We start from the raw sequence: 20,600 nt of genomic DNA, 5'->3' as shown, positions 1-20,600 counted from the left end.
TTCATGTCCCTTGTAAGTTGTATTCCTAGGTATCTTATTCTCTTTGTAGCAATTGTGAATAGGAGTTCACTCATGATTTGGCTCTCTGTCTATTGTTGGTGTACAGGAATGCTTGTGATTTTTGCACATTGATTTTGTATCCTGAGACTTTGCTGAAGTTGTTTATCAGCCTAAGCAGTTTTGGGGCTGAGATGATGGGGTATTCTATATATAGAATCATGTCTTCTGCAAACAGAGACAATGTGGCTTCCTCTCTTCCTATTTGAAAATGCTTTATTTCTTTCTCTTGCTTGATTGCCCTGGCCAGAACTTCCAATACTATGTTGAACAGGAGTGGTGAGAGACGGCATCGTTGTCTTGTGCCGGTTTTCAAAGGGCATGCTTCCAGCTTTTGCCCATTCAGTATGACATTGGCTATGGGTTTGTCACAAATAGTTCTTACTATTTTGAGATATGTTCCATCAGTATCTAGTTTATTGAGAGTTTTTAACATGAAGGGATGTTAAATTTTATCAAAGGCCTTTCTGCATTTACTGAGATAATCCTTGACATTGGTTTTTGACATTGGTTCTATTTATGTGACGGATTACATTTATTGATTTGCATATGTTGAACCAGCCTTGCATCCTTGGGATGAAGCTGACTTGATCATGGTGGATAGCTTTTTGATATGCTGCTGGATTCAGTTTGCCAGTATTTTCCTGAAGATTTTCACACCGATTTTCATCAGGGACATTGGCCTGAAGTTTTCTTTTTTCGTTGTGTGCCTGCCAGGTTTTGGTATCAGGATGATACTACCCTCATAAAATGAGTTAGAGAGGAGTTCCTCTTTTTTTATTATTTGGAATAGCTTCAGAAGGAATGGTACCAGCTCCTCTTTTTACCTCTGTTAGAAATCAGCTGTGAATCCATCTGGTCCTGGGCTTTTATTGGTTGGTAGACTATTAATTACTGCCTCAGTTTCAGGACTTGTTATTGGTCTATTCAGGGATTCGACTTCTTCCTGGTTCAGTCTTGGGAGAGTGTATGTGTCCAGGAATTTATCCAATTCTTCTAAATTTTTCTAGTTTATTTGCATAAAGGTGTTTACAGTATTCTCTGATAGTAGTTTGCATTTTTGTGGGATCAGTGGTGATATCCCCTTTATCATTTTTATTGTGTTTATTTGATTCTTCTCTCTTTTCTTCTTTATTAGTCTAGTTAGTGGTCTATCTACTTTGTTAATTTTTTCAAAGAACAAGCTCCTGGACTCACTGATTTTTTGAAGGGTTTTTCATGTCTCTATCTCCTTCAGTTCTGCTCTGATCTTAGTTATTTCTTGTCTTCTGCTAGCTTTTGAGTTTGCTCTTGTTTCTCTAGTTCTTTTAATTGTGATGTTAGGGTGTCAATTTGAGATCTTTCACACTTTCTGATATGGGAACTTAGTGCTATAAATTTCTCTCTTAACACTGCTTTAGCCGTGTCCAAGAGATTCTGGTACCTTGTCTTTTTGTTCTCTTTGGTTTCAAAGAACTTCTTGGTTTCTGCCTTAATTTCGTTATTTACCCAGTAGTCATTCAGGAGCAGGTTGCTCAGTTTCCATGTAGTTGTGCAGTTTGAGTGAGTTTCTTGACCCTGAGTTCTTATTTGATTGCACCGTGGTCTGAGAGACTGTTATAATTTCTGTTCTTTTGAATTTGCTGAGGAGTGTTTTACTTCCAATTATGTGGTCGATTTTACAATAAGTGCCATGTGGCACTGAGAAGAATGTATATTCTGTTGATTTGTGGTGGAGAGTTCTGTAGATTTCTATTTGGTCCACTTGATCCAGAGCTGAGTTCAAGTCCTGAATATCCTTGCATCAGAGTGAACAGACAACCTACAGAATGGGAGAAAATTTTTGCAAGCTATCCATCTGACATAGGTCTAATATTCAAAATCTACAAGGAATTTAAACAAATTTACAAGAAAAAAACAAACAACCCCATTAAAAAGTGGGCAAAGGAAGACATTTATGCAGCCAACAAACATGAAAAAAAGCTCATCGGCCGGGCAAGGTGGCTCATGCCTGTAATCCCAGCACTTCAGGAGGCCAAGGCGGGTGGATCACGAGGTCAAGAGATCAAGACCATTCTGGCCAACATGGTGACACCCCATCTCTACCTAAAAATACAAAAATTAGCTTGGCCTGGTGGCACGTGCCTGTAGTCCCAGCTACTCAGGAGGCTGAGGCAGGAGAATAGCTTGAACAAGGGAGGCAGAGGTTAGAGGGAGGTGAGATCATGCCACTGCACTGCAGCCTGATAACAGAGTGAGACTCTGTCAAAAAAAAAAAAAAAGCTCATTATCACTGATCATTAGAGAAATACAAATCAAAACTACAATGAGGTACCATTTCCTGCTAGTCAGAATGGTGATTATAAAAAGTCAAGAAACAATGGATGCTGGCAATGCTATGGAGAAGTGGGAATGCTTTTACACTGTTGGTGACAGTGTAGATTAGTCAACCATTGTAGAAGATGGTGTGGTGATTCCTCAAGGATCTAGAATCAGAAATACCATTTGACCCAGCAATCCTATTACTGGGTATATACCTAAAGGATTATAAATCATTCTACTATAAAGACACATGCACATGTATGTTTATTGCAGCACTATTTACAATAGCAAAGACTTGGAACCAACCCAAATGCCCATCAATGATAGACTAGATAAAGAAAATGTGGCAAATATACACCATGAAATACTATGCAGCCACAAAAAAGAATGAGATCATGTCCTTTGCAGAGACATGGATGAAGCCGGAAGCCATCATTCTCAGCAAAGTAATATAGGAATAGAAAACCAAATACTGGATGTTTTCACTCATAAGTGGGAGTTAAAAAATGAAAGTACATGGACACAGGGAGTGGAACAACACACACCAGGGCCTGTTGGGAGTTGGGGGGCAACGGGAGGGAGAGCATTAGGACAAATAACTAATGCATGTGGGGCTTAAAACCTAGATGATGGGTTGATAGGTGCAGCAAACCACCATGGCACACGTATAGCTATGTAACAAACATGCACATTCTGCACATGTATCCCTGAACTTAAAGTAAAATTAAAAAAAAAAAAAAAGATGTGCTGTTCTCCCCTTCCCTTGTCAGCACAGTGTCAGAAAAAAACAGCTAAAACCAAAGGTTTACATGAGTGCAGAGTCTCAGAACACAATGCATGAAATATTCAGCTTTCAATTAAAAATTAGGTTATTTACCACCAACCATGAGGACCTCAAAGTGAAGGGAAAATGACAATCACTAGATGCTAACCAAGATGATAGAGATGTTAGAATTAGTTGAAAACAATTTAAAAGCAGCCATCTTTAAAATGCTTCAACAAGCAATTATGAACGTGCTTTAAGCAAACAAAATAAATAAAAAATCTTAGCAGAAAAATAGAAACTCACAGAAAAGAAATAGGGAGTCTCACCAAGGAAATAGAAAGTATATGGAAAAACCAAATGGAAATTTTAGAGCTACACAATATAATAAATAAACTTTTGAAAAACTCAACGGATGTGTCCAACAAAATAATTAAGGGAATAGAAAAAAGGATCAGTGATCTGGAAGATAAAACAATAAAAAACACTCAATCAGAACAGACAGGATAAACAAACTCAATAAATAAACACATAAACAGAGCTTCAGGAGCCTATGGGACTATAACAAAAAATCTAATATTCATGTCTTCAGAGTCATGGAAGGAGAGGAAAAAGAAGATAGAGCTGAAAATATGCAAAGAAATGATGGCTGAGAACTTTCAGAATTTGTCACAAGACATAAACCTACAGAACCAAACATAATCTAAACAAGATAAATCTTAAGAAATCTACACCAAGGCACATTATAGTCAAACTTCTAAAAACTAGAGGCAAAGAAAAAATCTTGAATACAGTGAGAGAGAAATGGCACCTCTAGGGAGAAAATGATGTGAGTACCACATTTCTCATCAGAAACCCCAGAGGCCAAAACTAGCACAATATTTTTCAAGTGATAAAGTAAAGATGGCATAGCAAGCCTAAATATGTAGGCACCAAATAACAGAGCTGCAAAATTTGAGCAGCAAAATCTGATAAAAGTAAAAGGAAAAATATACCAATCCACAATTAGTATTTGAGACTTTCGACATACTCCTCTCAACAATTGATGGAACAACTAGACAGAAAATTAGCAAGTGTATAGAAGAACTCAACAAAACCTTCACCAAAAAAATCTAATCGCTATGTATAGAACACTCCACCCAACAAACAGAATACAGATGCTTTTTAGTGCCTGAAGGATCTATACCAAAATAGACTATATCATGGGTCATAAAACAAATCTCAACCAATTCAGAAAAGTTGAAATCATACAAAATATTTTCTCTAACTATGGTGGAATTAAACTGGAAATCAATGACAGAAAAAATCTCTAAACACTTGGGAACTAAACAATACACTTCTAAATATTGCATCGGTCAAAGAAGAAGTCTCAAGAAGAATTTAAAAATACATTTAACCAAATGAAATTGAAAATACAGTATGTCAAAATTTGTGAGACACAGCTAAAATAGTGTTAAATAGGACATCAATGGTACTGAATTCATACATTAGAAAAGAGGAAACATTTCAAACTAATAAAGTCATCCTAAAGAATCTATAGAAAGAAGAGCAAGATAAGCCAAAAGCAACAGAAGGGAAGAAATAATAAAGATAATTGCAGAAATCAATTAGGTAAAACACAGAAAAGCAATATAGAAAAATGAATGAAACAAAGAGCTGGTTCTTTGGAAGATAATAAAATTGACAAACCTCAAGTAAGACTGACAAAATGAGAGAGAAGACAAAAATTACCAATATTAGGAATGAAATGGGATATTATCACAGACCCTTCAGACATCAAAAGGATAACAAAGATAACTATGAAGAACTCTACACACATAAATTTCACAATTTAGATGAAATGGACCTATTCCTCAAAAATCACAAACTACTCACAACTCAATATAAAATCATTTGTATAGCCCTATAATTATTAAGACAACTTATTTTATAATGTTGAAACTCCCAAAAAAGAAATCTCTAGGCACAGATGATTTCACTGGAGAATTCTGTCAAATGTTTAAACAAGGATTAACATCAATTTTATAGAACTTCTTCCAGAAAATAGAAGAGAAAGGAATGCTTTTCTAACTCATTTTAAGGAGTATTATCCAAATGTCAAAACCAGAAAAAAGCCTGTACAAAAGAAGAAAACTATAGACCAATAGCCCTTATGAATATAGACGCAAAAATCTTCAAGAAAATATAAACAAATAGTAGTAATACATAAAGAGAATGACACACTATGACCAAGTGAGGTTTATTCTAGAGATGCAAGGCTGGTTCAATATTTGAAAATCAAGCAGTATAACCCCAAATTATTAACAGGCTAATGAAAAATATCACATGGTCATATCAATCGTGTAGAAAGGCTTTTGATAAAATCCGATGCTATTTATAATAAAAACTCTCAGAAAGATAGGAATAGAGAGGGACTTCCTCAACTTGATAAAGAACATCTACAGAAAAACCTACCACTACTTAATACTTGATGCTAAATTGGTGAATATATTCCCCTTAATATTGGGAACAAGGCAAAGATACCTGCTTTCACCACTCTTGTTCAATATAGTGCTGAAAGTTCTAATCAGTACAATGAAGCAAGAAAAGGGAAGCCAAATCAGAAGTGAAAAAACATGTAACAGTCCCTATTTACAGGTGACATGATTGTCTACATGGAAAATTTTGAGCAATGTGCAAAAAAAAGCCTCTTAGAACTAATAAGGGAGTTCAGCAAGGTTGCAGGATATAAAATAAGCATTAAATTATCAATAGTATTCCTATATGCTAGCAATGAATATGTGGAAACCAAAATTAAAAATATAACATCATTTATAATCACTCAAAATATTGAAATACTTAAGGATGAATCAAATAAAACATGTATAGTACTTATATGCTGAAAATTACAAGATGCTGACCAAAGAAATCAAAGAAAATCTAAATAAACTATATACCATGATCATGGATTGAAAGACTTAACATTGTGAAGATGTCAGTGCTTCCCAAATTGATTTATAGGTTCAATGCAATCACTATCAAAATCCCAGTAAGATTTCTTATATATCTAGACAAGATTATTCTAAAATTTATATGGAAAGGCAAATAAACTGAATTAACTAAAATGATTTTGGAAAGAACAAAGTGGAAGGAATCAGTCTTTTGGATTGGAAGGCATTACATAGGTGCAGTAATCAAACTGTGTGGTATTAGAGGGAAAGGCACATAAATCAATGAAATAAAAATTTTGAAAACAATAAATAGACCCACAAAAATATGCCTCACTGATTTTGACAAAGTGAAAAAGAGACTGGATGGAGAAAAGATAGCCTTTTCAGCAAAAGGTACTAGAGCAAGTGGACGTTCACAGGCCATCGTAAAAATCAATCTAAGTCTCACATCTTGTACAAAATTTAACTTAAAACAGATCATGGACTTAAATGAAAACTGTAGAAATACAAAACTTCTCTTTAAAAAAAAGTAGGAGAAAATCTTCAGGATTTGAGACTTGGTGGAGTTTTTAGATTAACATCGCAAACACAATTCAGTTTTTTAAAAAGTGATAATTCAGACCACATCAAAGCTAAAAACATTTGCTTTTAGAAAGATCCTGTAAAGAGGATAAAACTTAAACTACAGACCAGGAGAAAATATTTGTAAACCATGTATTTGAGAAAGGACTAGTATCTAGAATATGTGAAGAACTCTCAAATCCAACATTAAGAAAGAAAACAATCCAGTTTTAAAATAGGCAAAAGATATGAACAGACATTTTATTTATATAAGAGGTTATATAATTGGCAAATAAGCCCATGAAAAGATGTTCAGTAATTAAGGAAACACAAATTAAAGCCACAGTGAGTTTTAATGTCAATATCCTGTTTGTGATATTGTGCAATAATATTTAAGATGTTATCACTGGGGAAAACTGCATAAAAGTTCCACAGAATCTTTCTGTAGTGTCTCTTACAATTGCATGCAAATACACAATTATCTCAAAATTAAAATAAAATTAAATATAAAATTTAAAAACAAAGTATATGGATATGCAAAGGGCAAAGATTTGTCATGATAATCTTGTAGAATAACATCACAGTGAGGGAACCTAAACTTCAGAATTTCAGACATATTATAAAGTTAAAGTAACTAAGATATTGTGGCATCGGCAAATAAGTGACCGAAGATAAAGGGGATAGAGTCTATAAATAGATGTTCTCATAAAAGCCTACTGAATTCATCACAAAGTTGCCACTTTAATAAAGTTAGGGAAGAATTGTCTTTTCAATGTTCGGTAATGTTTCAACTGATTATCCATATGGAAAAAATATTGACCCCCTATTTCAAACCACACACAACAAATCAATTCCAAATAGTTCATAGATCTAAGTGTAAAAGGTAAAATAGTAACGCTCTGGATGATATCACAGGAATATATCTTCATGAGCTTGGGGTACACAAACATTTTAAATAGGATATAACAGCACTAACTACAAAATAAAAATTATAGTTAATAAAAATGAAGAACTTCTATTCGTCATAAAGCATCATTATGAAAGTGAAAAAAGTCACACGTAAAGAAGTTTGCAATATAAATATTTGATAAAATGTTTATATCCAGAATATATAAATAACTCCTTTGAATCAGAATAAAAAATCCAGACAATTGAATAAATCATGAATAAATACTTTCAAAAAGCTCCTAAAAAAAGGGGATCCTAAATGGGTAATAAAATATACAAAGCTATTAAACATCACTAGTTATCAGAGAAATGCAAACTAAAACCACTATACTTCCTTTAGAATGTTTAAAATAAAACATTAAAATACCAAGAATTGGTGAGAATTTGAGTCACCTGTACTATCATAAACTGCTGATGACAATATACATTTTTAAAGCCACTTCAAAAAGTCATTTGGCAGCATCTATAAACCTGGTTATCTGTGTATCCTGTGACTTAGTAAATTCACTCCTGGATACACAGCCAACAAAAATGTATACATATATACAGAAAAAGACACAGAAAATGTTCAAGGCAGCATTATTTTTAATAATTTACAATTGGAAGCAAGTCTACCAATAGTAAAATAAAGAAACTGTTAAATATTAATGAACAATATTAGACAGCAAAGAAATAAACAACTATTGCTACACAAAACAACATGCTAAATGTCATGTACCAAATAGTGAGGACAAGAAGACTGTTATGGAAGAATTTATACTATCTCATTTCATTTAATGAAGTTTAGAAATAGGCAAAATTAGAACCATGTTTTGTCATAGTGTAATAAGTGGGAGGAAGACAAAGAAACAGGAGAGAAAGAACTGGGTTTGCTCAGGATGAAAGAGACTTGAGTATGTCCCTAGGCTGAGGAGAAGGAGCAAGACAGACTGGCAGAGACTGAGTGGCACAATAGTAGGAAGCAGACTGATGGAGCAAGGTCTCAGAGGGGCAGAAACAAGTGGGTTCAAGGGCTTACACTCCCCAAAACCCTGCTCATGGATTCCTGGATGACCTGGTCTGACACCCATGGTCAGGAAGCTGGCCTATTCACATAAATGCGGATGGCTTTTTATAATTGGTTTTGGCTGCTCTCCTTTGGTGTTTAAACAAAGATATCCCTAAAAGAAGAATATTTACATTTTATGTGACAATAGTTAGGCCCTAGGGAGTTCAGAAAAGTAAAACCAGCAATGTATTTCCAGATTTCTGGGGACAGATTACCATGATGGTTGTCATTACCTCTCCAGAGATAATCTCTCCAGGGCCTCCTCGTGCTCTGGGCTAAACAGCAAAAAAAAGAAATGTTGGTCCTTATCCTCTTAAGGCTTATATACTCTCCTTCTAAGTCCTGAACTCTAATATAACCGAAGAGAGAGGTGCTTGTGCTTCTAAGAAATGCATAATCTAATGACCACTTCCTCAGTTGATGGCTGAAGCATGGTTCAACTAGAACTAGAAGCACAGTTGAGGTCTAACTTATACCTTATTAGTCATTTGATGGTTATCTGGCCTCTTTTAGCATAAATTTGCTGGGATTTTTTAAATTATGATTTTCTTAAGATTTGCTTACCTCATCCCATCACTGATCATTACAGAACACTTTTAGTTTTATCTTCTTTCCAGAAAATTGTTCTTTTCAAATCTCTGAAGGAAACTCATTAAGTGCCCTATAAAAATAGTAAATGGGCCGTTTAGGAATGTACACAGAATTGTTGATTGTCGTATAGGAAAGAAAGCTGCGTAAGGAGGAAGGTAATTGTAAAACAAACAGAACAATTTTTAAGCCCTTCATATTTGAAAAGTATTTTTGAAAGCTGAAAAAATTCACATAAATTAATTACCTAGAGGTTTGAAGCTGGCTCTTCTAAGCTTCAAAAACTGTTTTTATAAATTTTTAATTGTTTGGTATGTAAAGTTCCCTAAAATATATATCCCTGCCATAATATCTAGTATACCAGGACCTCTAGCCTTTTGTTAATGGCTAAGTTTTGGTTATCTGGGTCTCTGCAATGGTTGCTCTGAGCAGGTGAAGAGTCTAGGGCTGCTTGTCCTGGCACGAAATGACATTAGGTGACTCTGCTGGTTGTACCATATGGCTACTCTGTATAGGATTTATCTCTTATATAAAGCCACGAGAACACAATAAGAACATTTACTCTTGCATTAAACATGATTATAATTACTTGGTCATCTGGATGTCTAGCCTACAACAGATAAGAAGCATCTAGATGCTTCACTGTTAGAGCAAGCTGTGTCTGTCCCAGTGTCTGTTTCCTGCAGCGATCCTATCTAAATCTCTGCTCAAAATTCATATGGGCTAAGTACAAGGCACTATGGTAAATGCAGTAATACAGGTAGTAGTGATTTAAAACTGTGTAGCATTTTATAGCAATATATCGTGCCTTATTCAATATACCATTTGATACACACACACACACACACACACACACACACACACCTGTGAGAAAAGAAAATAACATTTATTAAACACCTGCTGTGTGCCAGGCACAGTGCTAAACTTGTGGTAGTCATTGTTTTGCTTATTCACTCAACAAAGTTTCACTGATGGGCTACTCTGTGCCAGGCACTGTTCTAAGCTCAAGGAATACCTCAGGAAACAAAATAACCAAAGTCTCTCCTCTGATGTAGTTCATTGCTTAGCGGGGGGCAACAGATAACAACCAACCAACCAAGTAAATAAATACATGGAGCATCCAATGGAAGGAGTGCTTTAGACACAAATAAAACAGAGAAGGAGGTAGAGGATACTGGGGTAGAGGGTGGGAGCTGTTTTAACCAGGGTGGTTGGGGAAGGACTTGCTGAGAAGGTGACATCTGAGCATAGAACTGAAGGACACCAGGAAACCATCTAAGCAGATTACCTAGGGGAAAGGCATTCTGGTCAGAGGAAACAGCACGTGCAAAGGCAATGAGGTAGAAGTGAGACTTGTGTGTCCCAGGGTCAGCAAAGAGGCACTGTGACTAAAAGAGAGTGAACAAGGGAAAGAGTAGTAAAAAATGAAAATATAGTTTATCAAAGGCCATTGAGAGGATTTTGACTTTTATTCTGAAAAAGAAGAGAAAACGTTGGGAGATTTTTGAGCAGAGGAATGGTAAGACTGTCTTACATTTAAACAGGAACACGCTGATTGCTGTGATGAGAACAGAAGTATGGGGCAAGGACAGAAGGGGAGAGAATAATTAGGAGGCCATCACCTTAATCCAGGTGAAAGATGACGCTAGCTTGGACTAGGAGGGCTGTGTTGGAGATGTGAATGTACAAATTCAGATGCGTTTTGAAGACAGAATCAAGAGGACTTGCTGATGGATCAGCAGTGGCGTTTAAGAGGAAAAGAAGATTCAAACATCACTCCAAGATTTGTGACCTGATCAATTAAAATAATGAGCTTGTTGTTCACTGAAATGGCAAAGATCATGAGAGGAGCGGATTTGGAAGGAAGGCACACGATTTTTGTTGTGGACATGTTGACTTTGAGATGGCTTTCACACATTCAAATGGATATGTTAAGGAGGTAATGGCTACTGGAGTGTAGCTAAGAGGTCTGAGCCATAGATATATGTTTTGGATTTATTAACACAGAAATTGCATTTAAAGCCATGGGAATGGATGAAATCATCAGGAGAATGAGTTAGAGGTGCAAGGACGAAACCTATCCTGTGCAGTATGGTAGCCACTAGTCACATGGGTGACTGAGCACTGGATAGGTGGCCATTGTGACTTGAGGGATAAAGAAGGTTAGTGAGAAGAATATGTGCAGAGCCATATGAAATGGGAGGCTGAGGGAAGAGGCATATCCTGAGATTTCTGGGCTTCTTGTGAGAACTGAGAATGAGGGATAAGGGCGCAATATAATTAATCCTGATTTTCTTAAGACTAAAAGAAGTGGGGAGGCTACAAGGCGAATCCAGAAGCATGTGGAATCCTGGGACCTTTATTTTATTTCTGCTCATACTGGGTTAAAGGTCAAGGCTAAGCTCTTCTCCGGAGCACACAGAGAGCTCTTTGGTTCCTTTCTTGAACTCCTCAGGAGACTTATTTTGAGGTTGTTATTATTATCCCCATTCAACAGATGATAAGACTGAAGTTCAGAGATTTAAGTGATTTGCTCAGACTTACTAGATTATAAAAATCAGATCTGAGATCATGCCCCAGGTTTTGACTCTTGGTCAGACGTTCCACACGTGTAATTATAATATGTGCATGCGTGGATGGGGTTGCATATATGGGGGAGGGTGTTGAATCCCCCCATGTAGGCTAAATCTTTTATGCATTGTATTTACAATCTCACAACCACCTTGTAATCCAGATGTTATTATTCCTATTTTATAGGTGAAGAAATTAAATTCTAGAGGGGTTAATTCCTTCAACTACATCATGATTGCCGTTAGAGGTGAGTAGTTTTATTCTCTGCCCCCTACTTTATTATTCTAATGAACTATTCCCCTCCTTCCCCCATTCCTTTCCCTATCTTGCTGTTGGCCCCCTTTCCATTCTCACGGCCTCATCTCCGTTTACAAGGCCTCATTTCCCCTCCTTTGCCTTCCTGCACATCCTAGTCAGTCACTTCAGTAAATGACTGGTAGATTGTTTGTAAAAATTGCCCTAGTTATTTCCCTCCTGGTAAAAGGCTCCTTTGTAATGTGACTTTATAGCTCCTCCTGGTAAGATGGAGCCTTTGAATCTGGGCTGGCCTCGTGATTTACTCTGGCCATGACAATATGGCAAAAGTGACATTACGCCATTTCTAAGCCTGAGCCTCAAAGAAACCTTACCGTGTCTACTCTTTCTAGGAATCCTGCCCTGCTGCCATGTGAACAAACTGGGCTGGTCTTCTGGATTACAGACCATGGGAATGAAGATGAGCCACCCCAGCTGAAACCATTCTAGATGAGCCAGCCCACAGCTGGCCCAAAGCTGATGTCAGCCATAAATAAGCCCAACCAAGATCAGCCAGGCCTGGCCTAGGTCAGGAGAACTGCCCCATCAAACCCGAGGCCCAGAAACCAAATAAATGGTTGTTTTAAGCCTCTAAGTATTGAGGTGGTTTGCTAGTAACAACAGCTAATGAAGTTCCCTCATTTTATTCTTTTATTGCCACCGTCAATGGTCTTTCCACTCCATTTTCCCAAAGCCTGAACATTGCTAAATCTAAATTTTGTAAAAAATCAGCAAATGGGTTTATACTTCCTTTAGGTCCCTGCAGCTGCTCAGCATTTCATCTGCTTAAAATATTTCTCGGAGAACCTATTATAAATTTTCTAAACATGCTGTAAGGAAATGGAGGAAGTTTTTCTTTTTTAGATCTGGGCAGATGGGAGGTGATTGGAGCAAGGACAATTTCTCTTTTTTAATTAATTATTTAATTGAAAAATAAAAAATGTATACAGTCAACCTCTATATCTGCATGTTGCACATCTACAGATTCAACCCACTGTGGATCAAAAATGTTCAAAAATAAGAAAAGATAGCAATTCAACAATAAAGACAATACAAATAAACAACATAGCATAACAAATATTTACATGAAATTTGCATTGTATTAGGTGTTATAAATAATCCAGAGATGACTTAAAGTATACAGGAGGATGTACATAGGTTATATGCAAATATGACACTATTTTATATTAGGGACTTGACCATCTGCCAATTTTGGTATCCACTGGGGGTCCTGGAACCAGTCTTCTGTGGATACAAAGGGATGACTATTTATATTGTATAACATGTTATTTCTAGAAAAAAAAATCTTTTTCTCTTAAGATGGTTGCTCAGTAGGAAAGGCAAGGCAAGATACCAGGAAATAATGAAGTAGAGCACTGGTGCCCAACTTTTTTGGCACCAGAGACCAGTTTCATGGAAGACAGTTTTTCCACGGACTGGGGAAGGGGATGGTTTCTAGATGAAACTGTTCCACCTCAGATCAGGCATTAGATTCTCATAAGGAGCGCTCAGCCTAGATCCCTCGGATGCGCAGTTCCCAATAGCGTTCACACTCCTGTGAGAATCTGTGGCTGCTGCTGATCTGCCAGGCGGTGGACCTCAGGTGGTAATGCTTGCTCGCTGCCACTCACCTCCTGCTGTGCAGCCTGATTCCTAACAGGTCATGGACTAGTACCAGTCTGGGGCCCAGGGTTTGGGGGTCCCTAAAATAGAGAAGAGACAACTTGGGGGAGCTCGTATTAGTTGGCTCCAACTTCTAGATGAAATACTAAGCAAGTGTTAGGAATACACTACAACCTCCCAGACAGGGTTTGCAACTATGTTACAAAACTGCAACCACTCTTCTTTCTAGTAGGCACTACAGGCATCACTCATCAACCACAGCACTCTCTTCTGCTGTGCCTAGATGCAGTCCCAATCCAGCAGTCCCTCTCAGATCCATCCTTCTCAGTCCAATCAGTTAGATCTTGAAATGAAACCCATTATCAAATCTGCTCAAGGGTGGGCTCGGAGCTTCTCCTGCTGCTCGCTCCATCCTGATAAAAAGCAGTGGCTAAGAATCAAGTAGAGAATGGAGTCATCATGGACACAAAGCTAGGCTTCCTTAATAAGGAGTGGCATTTACAGTGGGAGGGTGGAAAACCTGACAAACAGAACTAATGACAGCTCTTTTCCTTTGCATTATATAGTCATGCTCTGTTCTCTCTTATGGAAGTGAGGCAGAGGGATGGCCTCCCCTTGGAAACTCCGTTGGAAATCTCTTTTTCATTATTTTCTTAACATTACTTTTGTCCCTATTTTAAGTAGCTCCACTTTAAGATGCTTTTGGTCTGTGGTCTATGATTGGGCTTGTAAAAACTTGTACATATAAAAACCAATAGTTAGAGGAGGCAGGGGATTCTTCTGGGCAGGTCAAGGAGGGCTTTCTGGAGGAAAGGTATGTTGAGGATTTATTCACCAGATGGACAAATGAGGGAGGAAAAGGCTACAGGGAGACAATGCATGCATGGAGGCCAGGAAGCGTCAAGGAGCCCATCACTGTTAGTGGATCACAAAGTATGATGTGGAGGAAGGGAGTGGAGAAATGAAAGCAAAACCAGAAAGGTAGGTTGGAGTCAGATTATTAAAAAAAATACCAAGGCTCTGATCTGGCTTGTAGTAGGATGCTGTCACCTTTTTAAAGCTGAAGAATGGGCCGGGCACGGTGGCTCATGCCTGTAATTCCAGCAATTTGGGAGGCTGAGGCAGGTGGATCACCTGAGGTCATGCATTCAAGACCAGCCTGGGCAACATGGTAAAACCCTGTCTCTACTAAAAATACAAAAATTAGCTGGACATGGTGGTGGGCACCTGTAATCGTAGCAACTCGGGAGGCTGAGGCAGAAGAATCGCTGGAACCCAGGAGGCAGAAGTTGCAGTGAGCTGAGATTTCATCACTGAACTCCAACCTCGGCAACAGAGAGAGACGCCATCTCAAAAAATAAATACAGCTGAAGAACGGCAAAAGCACGCTTTATTTTCATATAATAAAAATATCCACCCATTTAATGGCTTCCTATAAATACTAAGCACTTCACATACACTCATTTAATCCAGTAACACCCCTATGAGGTAGGTAGTTATAATCCCCATTTTACAGATAAGGAAACAAAGGCACTGACAGATTAACTGATCCAATGTCATTCCTAACTGATTGAATCAGGGTTTATAGCAGGGTCATCTGGCTCTATAAATTCCTTGGGGACAAGATCCATGTATCCATGTGGCATTTATTATTTTATAATAACCTATCTCCCCCCAAAAGGAATCTATCAAGGTACCTGATATACATTAGGCACGTAATCATTTTTACTGATATCAGTCAAAAAGCTCTCTGTCTTACCTTCACATGTTAAATCCTTTTCTCAAATTTCCTGAAATAGCCATAAAGCACCGTTTTATCATCATGGTTAGGGATGACAATCCTAGCAAAATCTGACTGTTTAGTGTGTCCCAGGCACAGTGTTAATCTCTTGATGTGCATTAACACACTCAGTCATCACAACAGCTTGTCCACAGCTGGGGCCCAGAGAGGTTGAATAAGTTACTCAGAGTCACAGAGTAAGTTGTTGGGCTCGATCTCCTCCAAGTTCTGGCCATCTTCAGCACCCACACACTACCTCCCTCTGACCTTCTCACCTTCTCACCTTGTCCGTGCAGAGATTGTAGGCCTCCAAGGACAGCTAGCTTCCTGACGGCTCCCCAACAGTAAAGGATGGATTTGCTAGGCTCTGGCTGGGCTGTTTTGTGCAGTGACTAAGGACACACATTTTGTTAGACATTTGGCCTGAATAAGGGGCTCAGGCCTTTAGTCTGTGGCTGTGGAACAGAGAAAAGCTAACTGACCCAGAAGGGGATTGAACTTGTGACCTAGGCTTCAGAGCGCCAGGCTCTAACATCACGGCTACAGACAGAGCACCTCCAGAGGGTTGTCTGATGGGAGACTTGCCTTGCATTTTAAATCTTGTGCCGCTTCTCCCCAAAGCCCCCCTCCCCATTGCTGAAGATTAAGAAACTGAGGTTCATGCAAGTGCAGAGCGAGAGGAAAATAAATCGCGATTTAAATTCATGCCTCTGGACGCATAGCTTAGCCCGCGTTGAACCCCTCTCGCTTCATCTCTGCCACCTCCTTTCTGTGATTTATTTCAGGCGATGGCCCTCCGTGTATGTGTAAAAATCCCCCTGAATGCTTTCCCCTGAGGGCAGTCAATGCGTCCCTCTGAAGTTTAGCGCCAATGCTGATGTGTGCAAAGGGATGAAAAACGTACATTTTCAAGTCTCCCCAAAGCTTCGAGCCAAAAGGGAAAAAAAGAAAAAAGAAAAAAAGTTGTCCATTCCCCTTTTTCAGCCCTCACACTTCAAATGCTAATGAAAAGTGTGTTGTCTTGGGCCTTGAATAGGTCTAAAATGCTCTGGTTTGGAAGTATTTGCATACCCTCCTGAATAGGGAGGCAGCCAGCAGAGAGGATTAGGGCTACACATCAACTCCTCCGAAAAGGGGCTGACAGGGCTGAAAAAAACTGAGTATCAGCAAAAGCCTGACTGTAAGGTGAAGGGGGAGAAGTATCTCCTCCAGATACTCATCTTTTTCTTCTTTGTCCCTTGAAAAAGTTTTTGAGTTTTTGCTATTATTTAGGGAAAAAAATACATAGGATAGGTGAAATAATCCAAATACGGGGATTGGCAAAAAAAAAAAAAAAAAAAAAGAGGGAGGGAATCTTAACCTATTACTCTAAAGCAATTTGCATGTTTTTAACTTTGTAAATCACCACATACATACAGTTTTTAAATAGCTGGAATTGTTTTGCATTTTCGATGTTCATTTAATATTATATAATTACTATTCTTTTAGATTTCTATGTAGTTTTGTAACGTATTATTTTTATTGGCTACTTAATCTTCTTTTACTGTTTAATAAGTTTTTCTCCTTTAGTTACAATAAATATCATCATACATACAGCTTTTTGACTCTATTATTTCCTTAGGATACGTCCCTCCATGGTTTTTCAGTCCCAAATAGTATGGATAGCTTTATAGTTTTATCTGTTTGATCATTATGTGAATTTTTGTTTCCCTTCGAACATGCCATTTGTTTGAATGTTAATTTTTCATGAATGTTTAAGTTTCTAAGATCTTAGTTTTTTAGTACAATTTAGCATTTCTAAGTTGATATTTTTACTATCAATTTCTTTAATTTCCATTTCTTTGATCAGTATTGAGAATTAAAATATTTTCATTTGCTTGTTTCCTATTTGTATTTCTCTTGGATGAACTGCTTGTTCATTCCTGTTCATTCCTATTCTTTGCCAATTTATTTATGGAGGCGTGGACTTCTATAAACTTTAATGAGCCTTTGCAAATTATAATATGAACACTTTACATGCAAATATATTGTCCCGGTACATGGCTGTTTTATTGTACTTTTGTTCTTTATCATTGTATATGTTCATGTGAATCTTTATATTTTCCAAACAATCTGTTTTGTTTTGTTGTTTGTGATCCCCACAAATATTTTGTATGGAACAAAATTTTGTATTGAGCTGCAGCTCAAACACAAAACAGTAGATCAACTTATCCTGAAGCTGAAGGTGGAGGAATTAATAAAAGGCATCAGACAGCAATGAGGAAAGAATTAGATGGACATCCCCATGCTTGACATCCTTGATTCCCTGACATACCTGTATCTCTCTGTTTTGCTATAGAACTCAACACTCACCAGCCCATTGAATAATTGCAGGAGGATCTCATTTACAGCTTTCAGGGTTCTAGACCAGAATGGCAAGGACTCCTTTCTCCAGCCATCATTTCACTAACATAGTTTGGACAAAATAAATCAACCATACTGCACTAAAAATTTATTTTTTTGTGTGTAGCAAACCTCAGATGAACTAATCAAAGATCCGTTTGCTCTTTATTGCCTTAAATAAGGCTGTTATCAGCTTGCATGAAAAATGCATTAGATTTACAACATTCTGTCACCATTAGAGCTTCAAAGGTGACTTGAGAAAACACCCAAATCTAAAAAGGTGAGATTAGACATCTCACCTTTGTCTTTTGCTCTGAGTTGTTTTAGTGTTGAAGTTTTCATCAGGAAATATAAGAAATAAATTTACCCCTTTTGAAAATGGCATATATGGGTTTGTTTTTTTTAAGTAATGTTATGCATGATTAAGACAGTAAAGGGAATTTTAAAATTTCGATCCCAGGAGATCTTTAAAAACAAGACAGCTACACACAAGTCTGTCAATGTGTAGATGCAACTTTTCTTTTAAAACATAGAACTTATGTAAAAGCTTTCTAAAACTATTATTTGGTGACTTGGTGTGCATATAAACATTATGACCCTGTATTCATTTTTTCTTGATTTTGGAAATTTTCTAAAGAGCATTCGTTCTTTTGTTCCCTTGTTAAAACTCTCAAATTTTGATCCATGGAGTAGTATAAATAGGAAAAAAAAAGTTAAGGTTTTATAAAACCCTATCCAGATATCTATCTAGAGATATCTATTATACAGATAATATAATATCTATATCATAAAGCTAGATATGTATCTATCTACCTACCTAGTGTATATGATACATATCTAGTAATATGTGTAGTGTTTTATCCTAGGAACTTCAAGGACACAAATAGATATCTCTTGCTCTCAAGGAAATAAAAAGATAAATCACAATAAATGGTAGTATACACTACATACTAAATTAATGGTGAAGGCAAGAGCAGTACTGGTCAATAGGTAGCCCACAAGTTGGAGCCAGTCTCCAAACTGTTCCAATCTGAGATGGCATAAATACGGCATTAAGAATAGGCATTTAGGCCAGGCGCGGTGGCTCACGCCTGTAATCCCAGCACTTTGGGATGCCGAGGCGGGCAGATCACGAGGTCAGAATATCGAGACCATCCTGGCTAACACAGTGAAACCCCGTCTCTACTAAAAATACAAAAAATAGCCGGGCGTGGTGGTGGGCGCCTGTAGTCCCAGCTACTCGGGAGGCTGAGGCAGGAGAATGGCGTGAACCCGGGAGGCGGAGCTTGCAGTGAGCCGAGATCGCGCCACTGCACTCCAGCCTGGGCGACGGAGCGAGACTCCTTCTTAAAAAAAAAAAAGAATAGGCATTTAGAAATTTTTAAAGAAATGTGACAGAGTGATTTTATGCTTGTTGAGTGCAATAATTAAACATGTGACCTTGTATTTTGTATGGCTTTGTTTTTTAAAATTTCTTTATTTTAGTATAACATTTCTTTTATTTAGTAGTATTTCTTGATTTTATTTTTATTATAACTTGCAAAAATGTAACTTTGTGAGTGGTTATTTAAAGAAAATAAGTGTGGCCCTTCACGCTGAGCAATACTGAGACAGGGATATGAAGAATATATAATATGTATATGTGTGCATATATGTGTGTGTACATGCACACAGATATGGCTAAGTATCCTCTCAACAGAAGAATAGAGAAATACCTTATGGAAGACCATTCATATGGATTCCCCTTGTCTTCAGTTATTGTCAGAAAAGGAAGAGCTCTTCCTTGGAAAAGCCCTTACCTCTTCTGCCTGTCTCAGAGGAAAGTTTCTTCTGTCTTTATACCTTTAGAAATGGTTATCTCTAGTGTCATTGAATCTTGAAGTTATTCAATCTTCAGGGTTTAGTACCAAAGAATGAAAATCACATTTCCTGCTAAAATACAAATGTCTTGCAAAAACCTTAAGAAAAATAAAGCAGAAAAAAATGCAAAAAATTTGAAAGATATACTGTCAAAGTATATTATATAATTTTCAGACTTACTTGGATAGAGAAATTACTCAAAGGGCTAATTCCTGTTTTCATATTTGCATGGCAAACTTCCTATAAAGCAAAAAAAAATGACTAAAGGACTGAATCCTTATGGGATATAAAAGCTATATATTATAAATGTATTTTATTAAATTACATATATTATCTAAATGTATAATGTAAATTTTAATATTAAGATACAATTATATAATTTTATAGACTATTAATAGTGATTTGAGCATAGACTTATAAAATTTTTGAAATAGTTGAAAGATGTATTTAAGGTTTTGCCAGGCATTTTACAGAATGCATTACATAGAAATATTGTGAATGGTACTATAGAAGAAAAAAGATTTATGTGCTCAAATAAATTTGGATAGCTTTGAGTTAAATTAAGTTACTACTGCTGGATTTTTCAGAGTCTTTGTTAATATTTCATAAACAAGAGGTCCCTGCATTTTCATTTTCACTGAGCCTCATAATATATATAGCCAGACCTGCTAGGAAGATTTAACTGTGAAAGTAACTTTTGCACAAAAACCTAAAGAACATAGCAGGGAGACTGTGTCTGGGCAAAGAATATTTTAGGTAGAAGAAAAAGCAAGTGCAAAGTCCCTGAAGTGGAAGCATGTCCAATGTCTTCTAGGAACAGCTAAGAGGACTAAAGAAAAATGAGCAAGGAGGAAAATAGCAGCTAAGGTCACAGTAGTATGAAGTTGGGGAAGA

The 20,600-nt window shown here is 37.1% G+C and overlaps 1 protein-coding gene across 1 annotated transcript in view; it reads left to right on the top strand.

The window, feature by feature from the left end:
• C12orf42 (chromosome 12 open reading frame 42) overlaps positions 1–12,656 on the top strand; it is a 516,167-nt gene extending 503,511 nt beyond the window's left edge. Inside the window, exons 11-12 of the transcript XR_001748690.2 lie at positions 11,954–12,014; positions 12,415–12,656. The gene's annotated coding sequence lies outside the window, so the exon portion shown is untranslated. The remainder of the gene's footprint in view (positions 1–11,953; positions 12,015–12,414) is intronic.
• Positions 12,657–20,600: the final 7,944 nt, after the last annotated feature.

The sequence above is a fragment of the Homo sapiens genome, chromosome 12, assembly GCF_000001405.40.
Source record: "Homo sapiens chromosome 12, GRCh38.p14 Primary Assembly".
NCBI classification, from domain to species: domain Eukaryota; kingdom Metazoa; phylum Chordata; class Mammalia; order Primates; family Hominidae; genus Homo; species Homo sapiens.
This window is presented reverse-complemented; position numbering and strand designations above follow the sequence as displayed.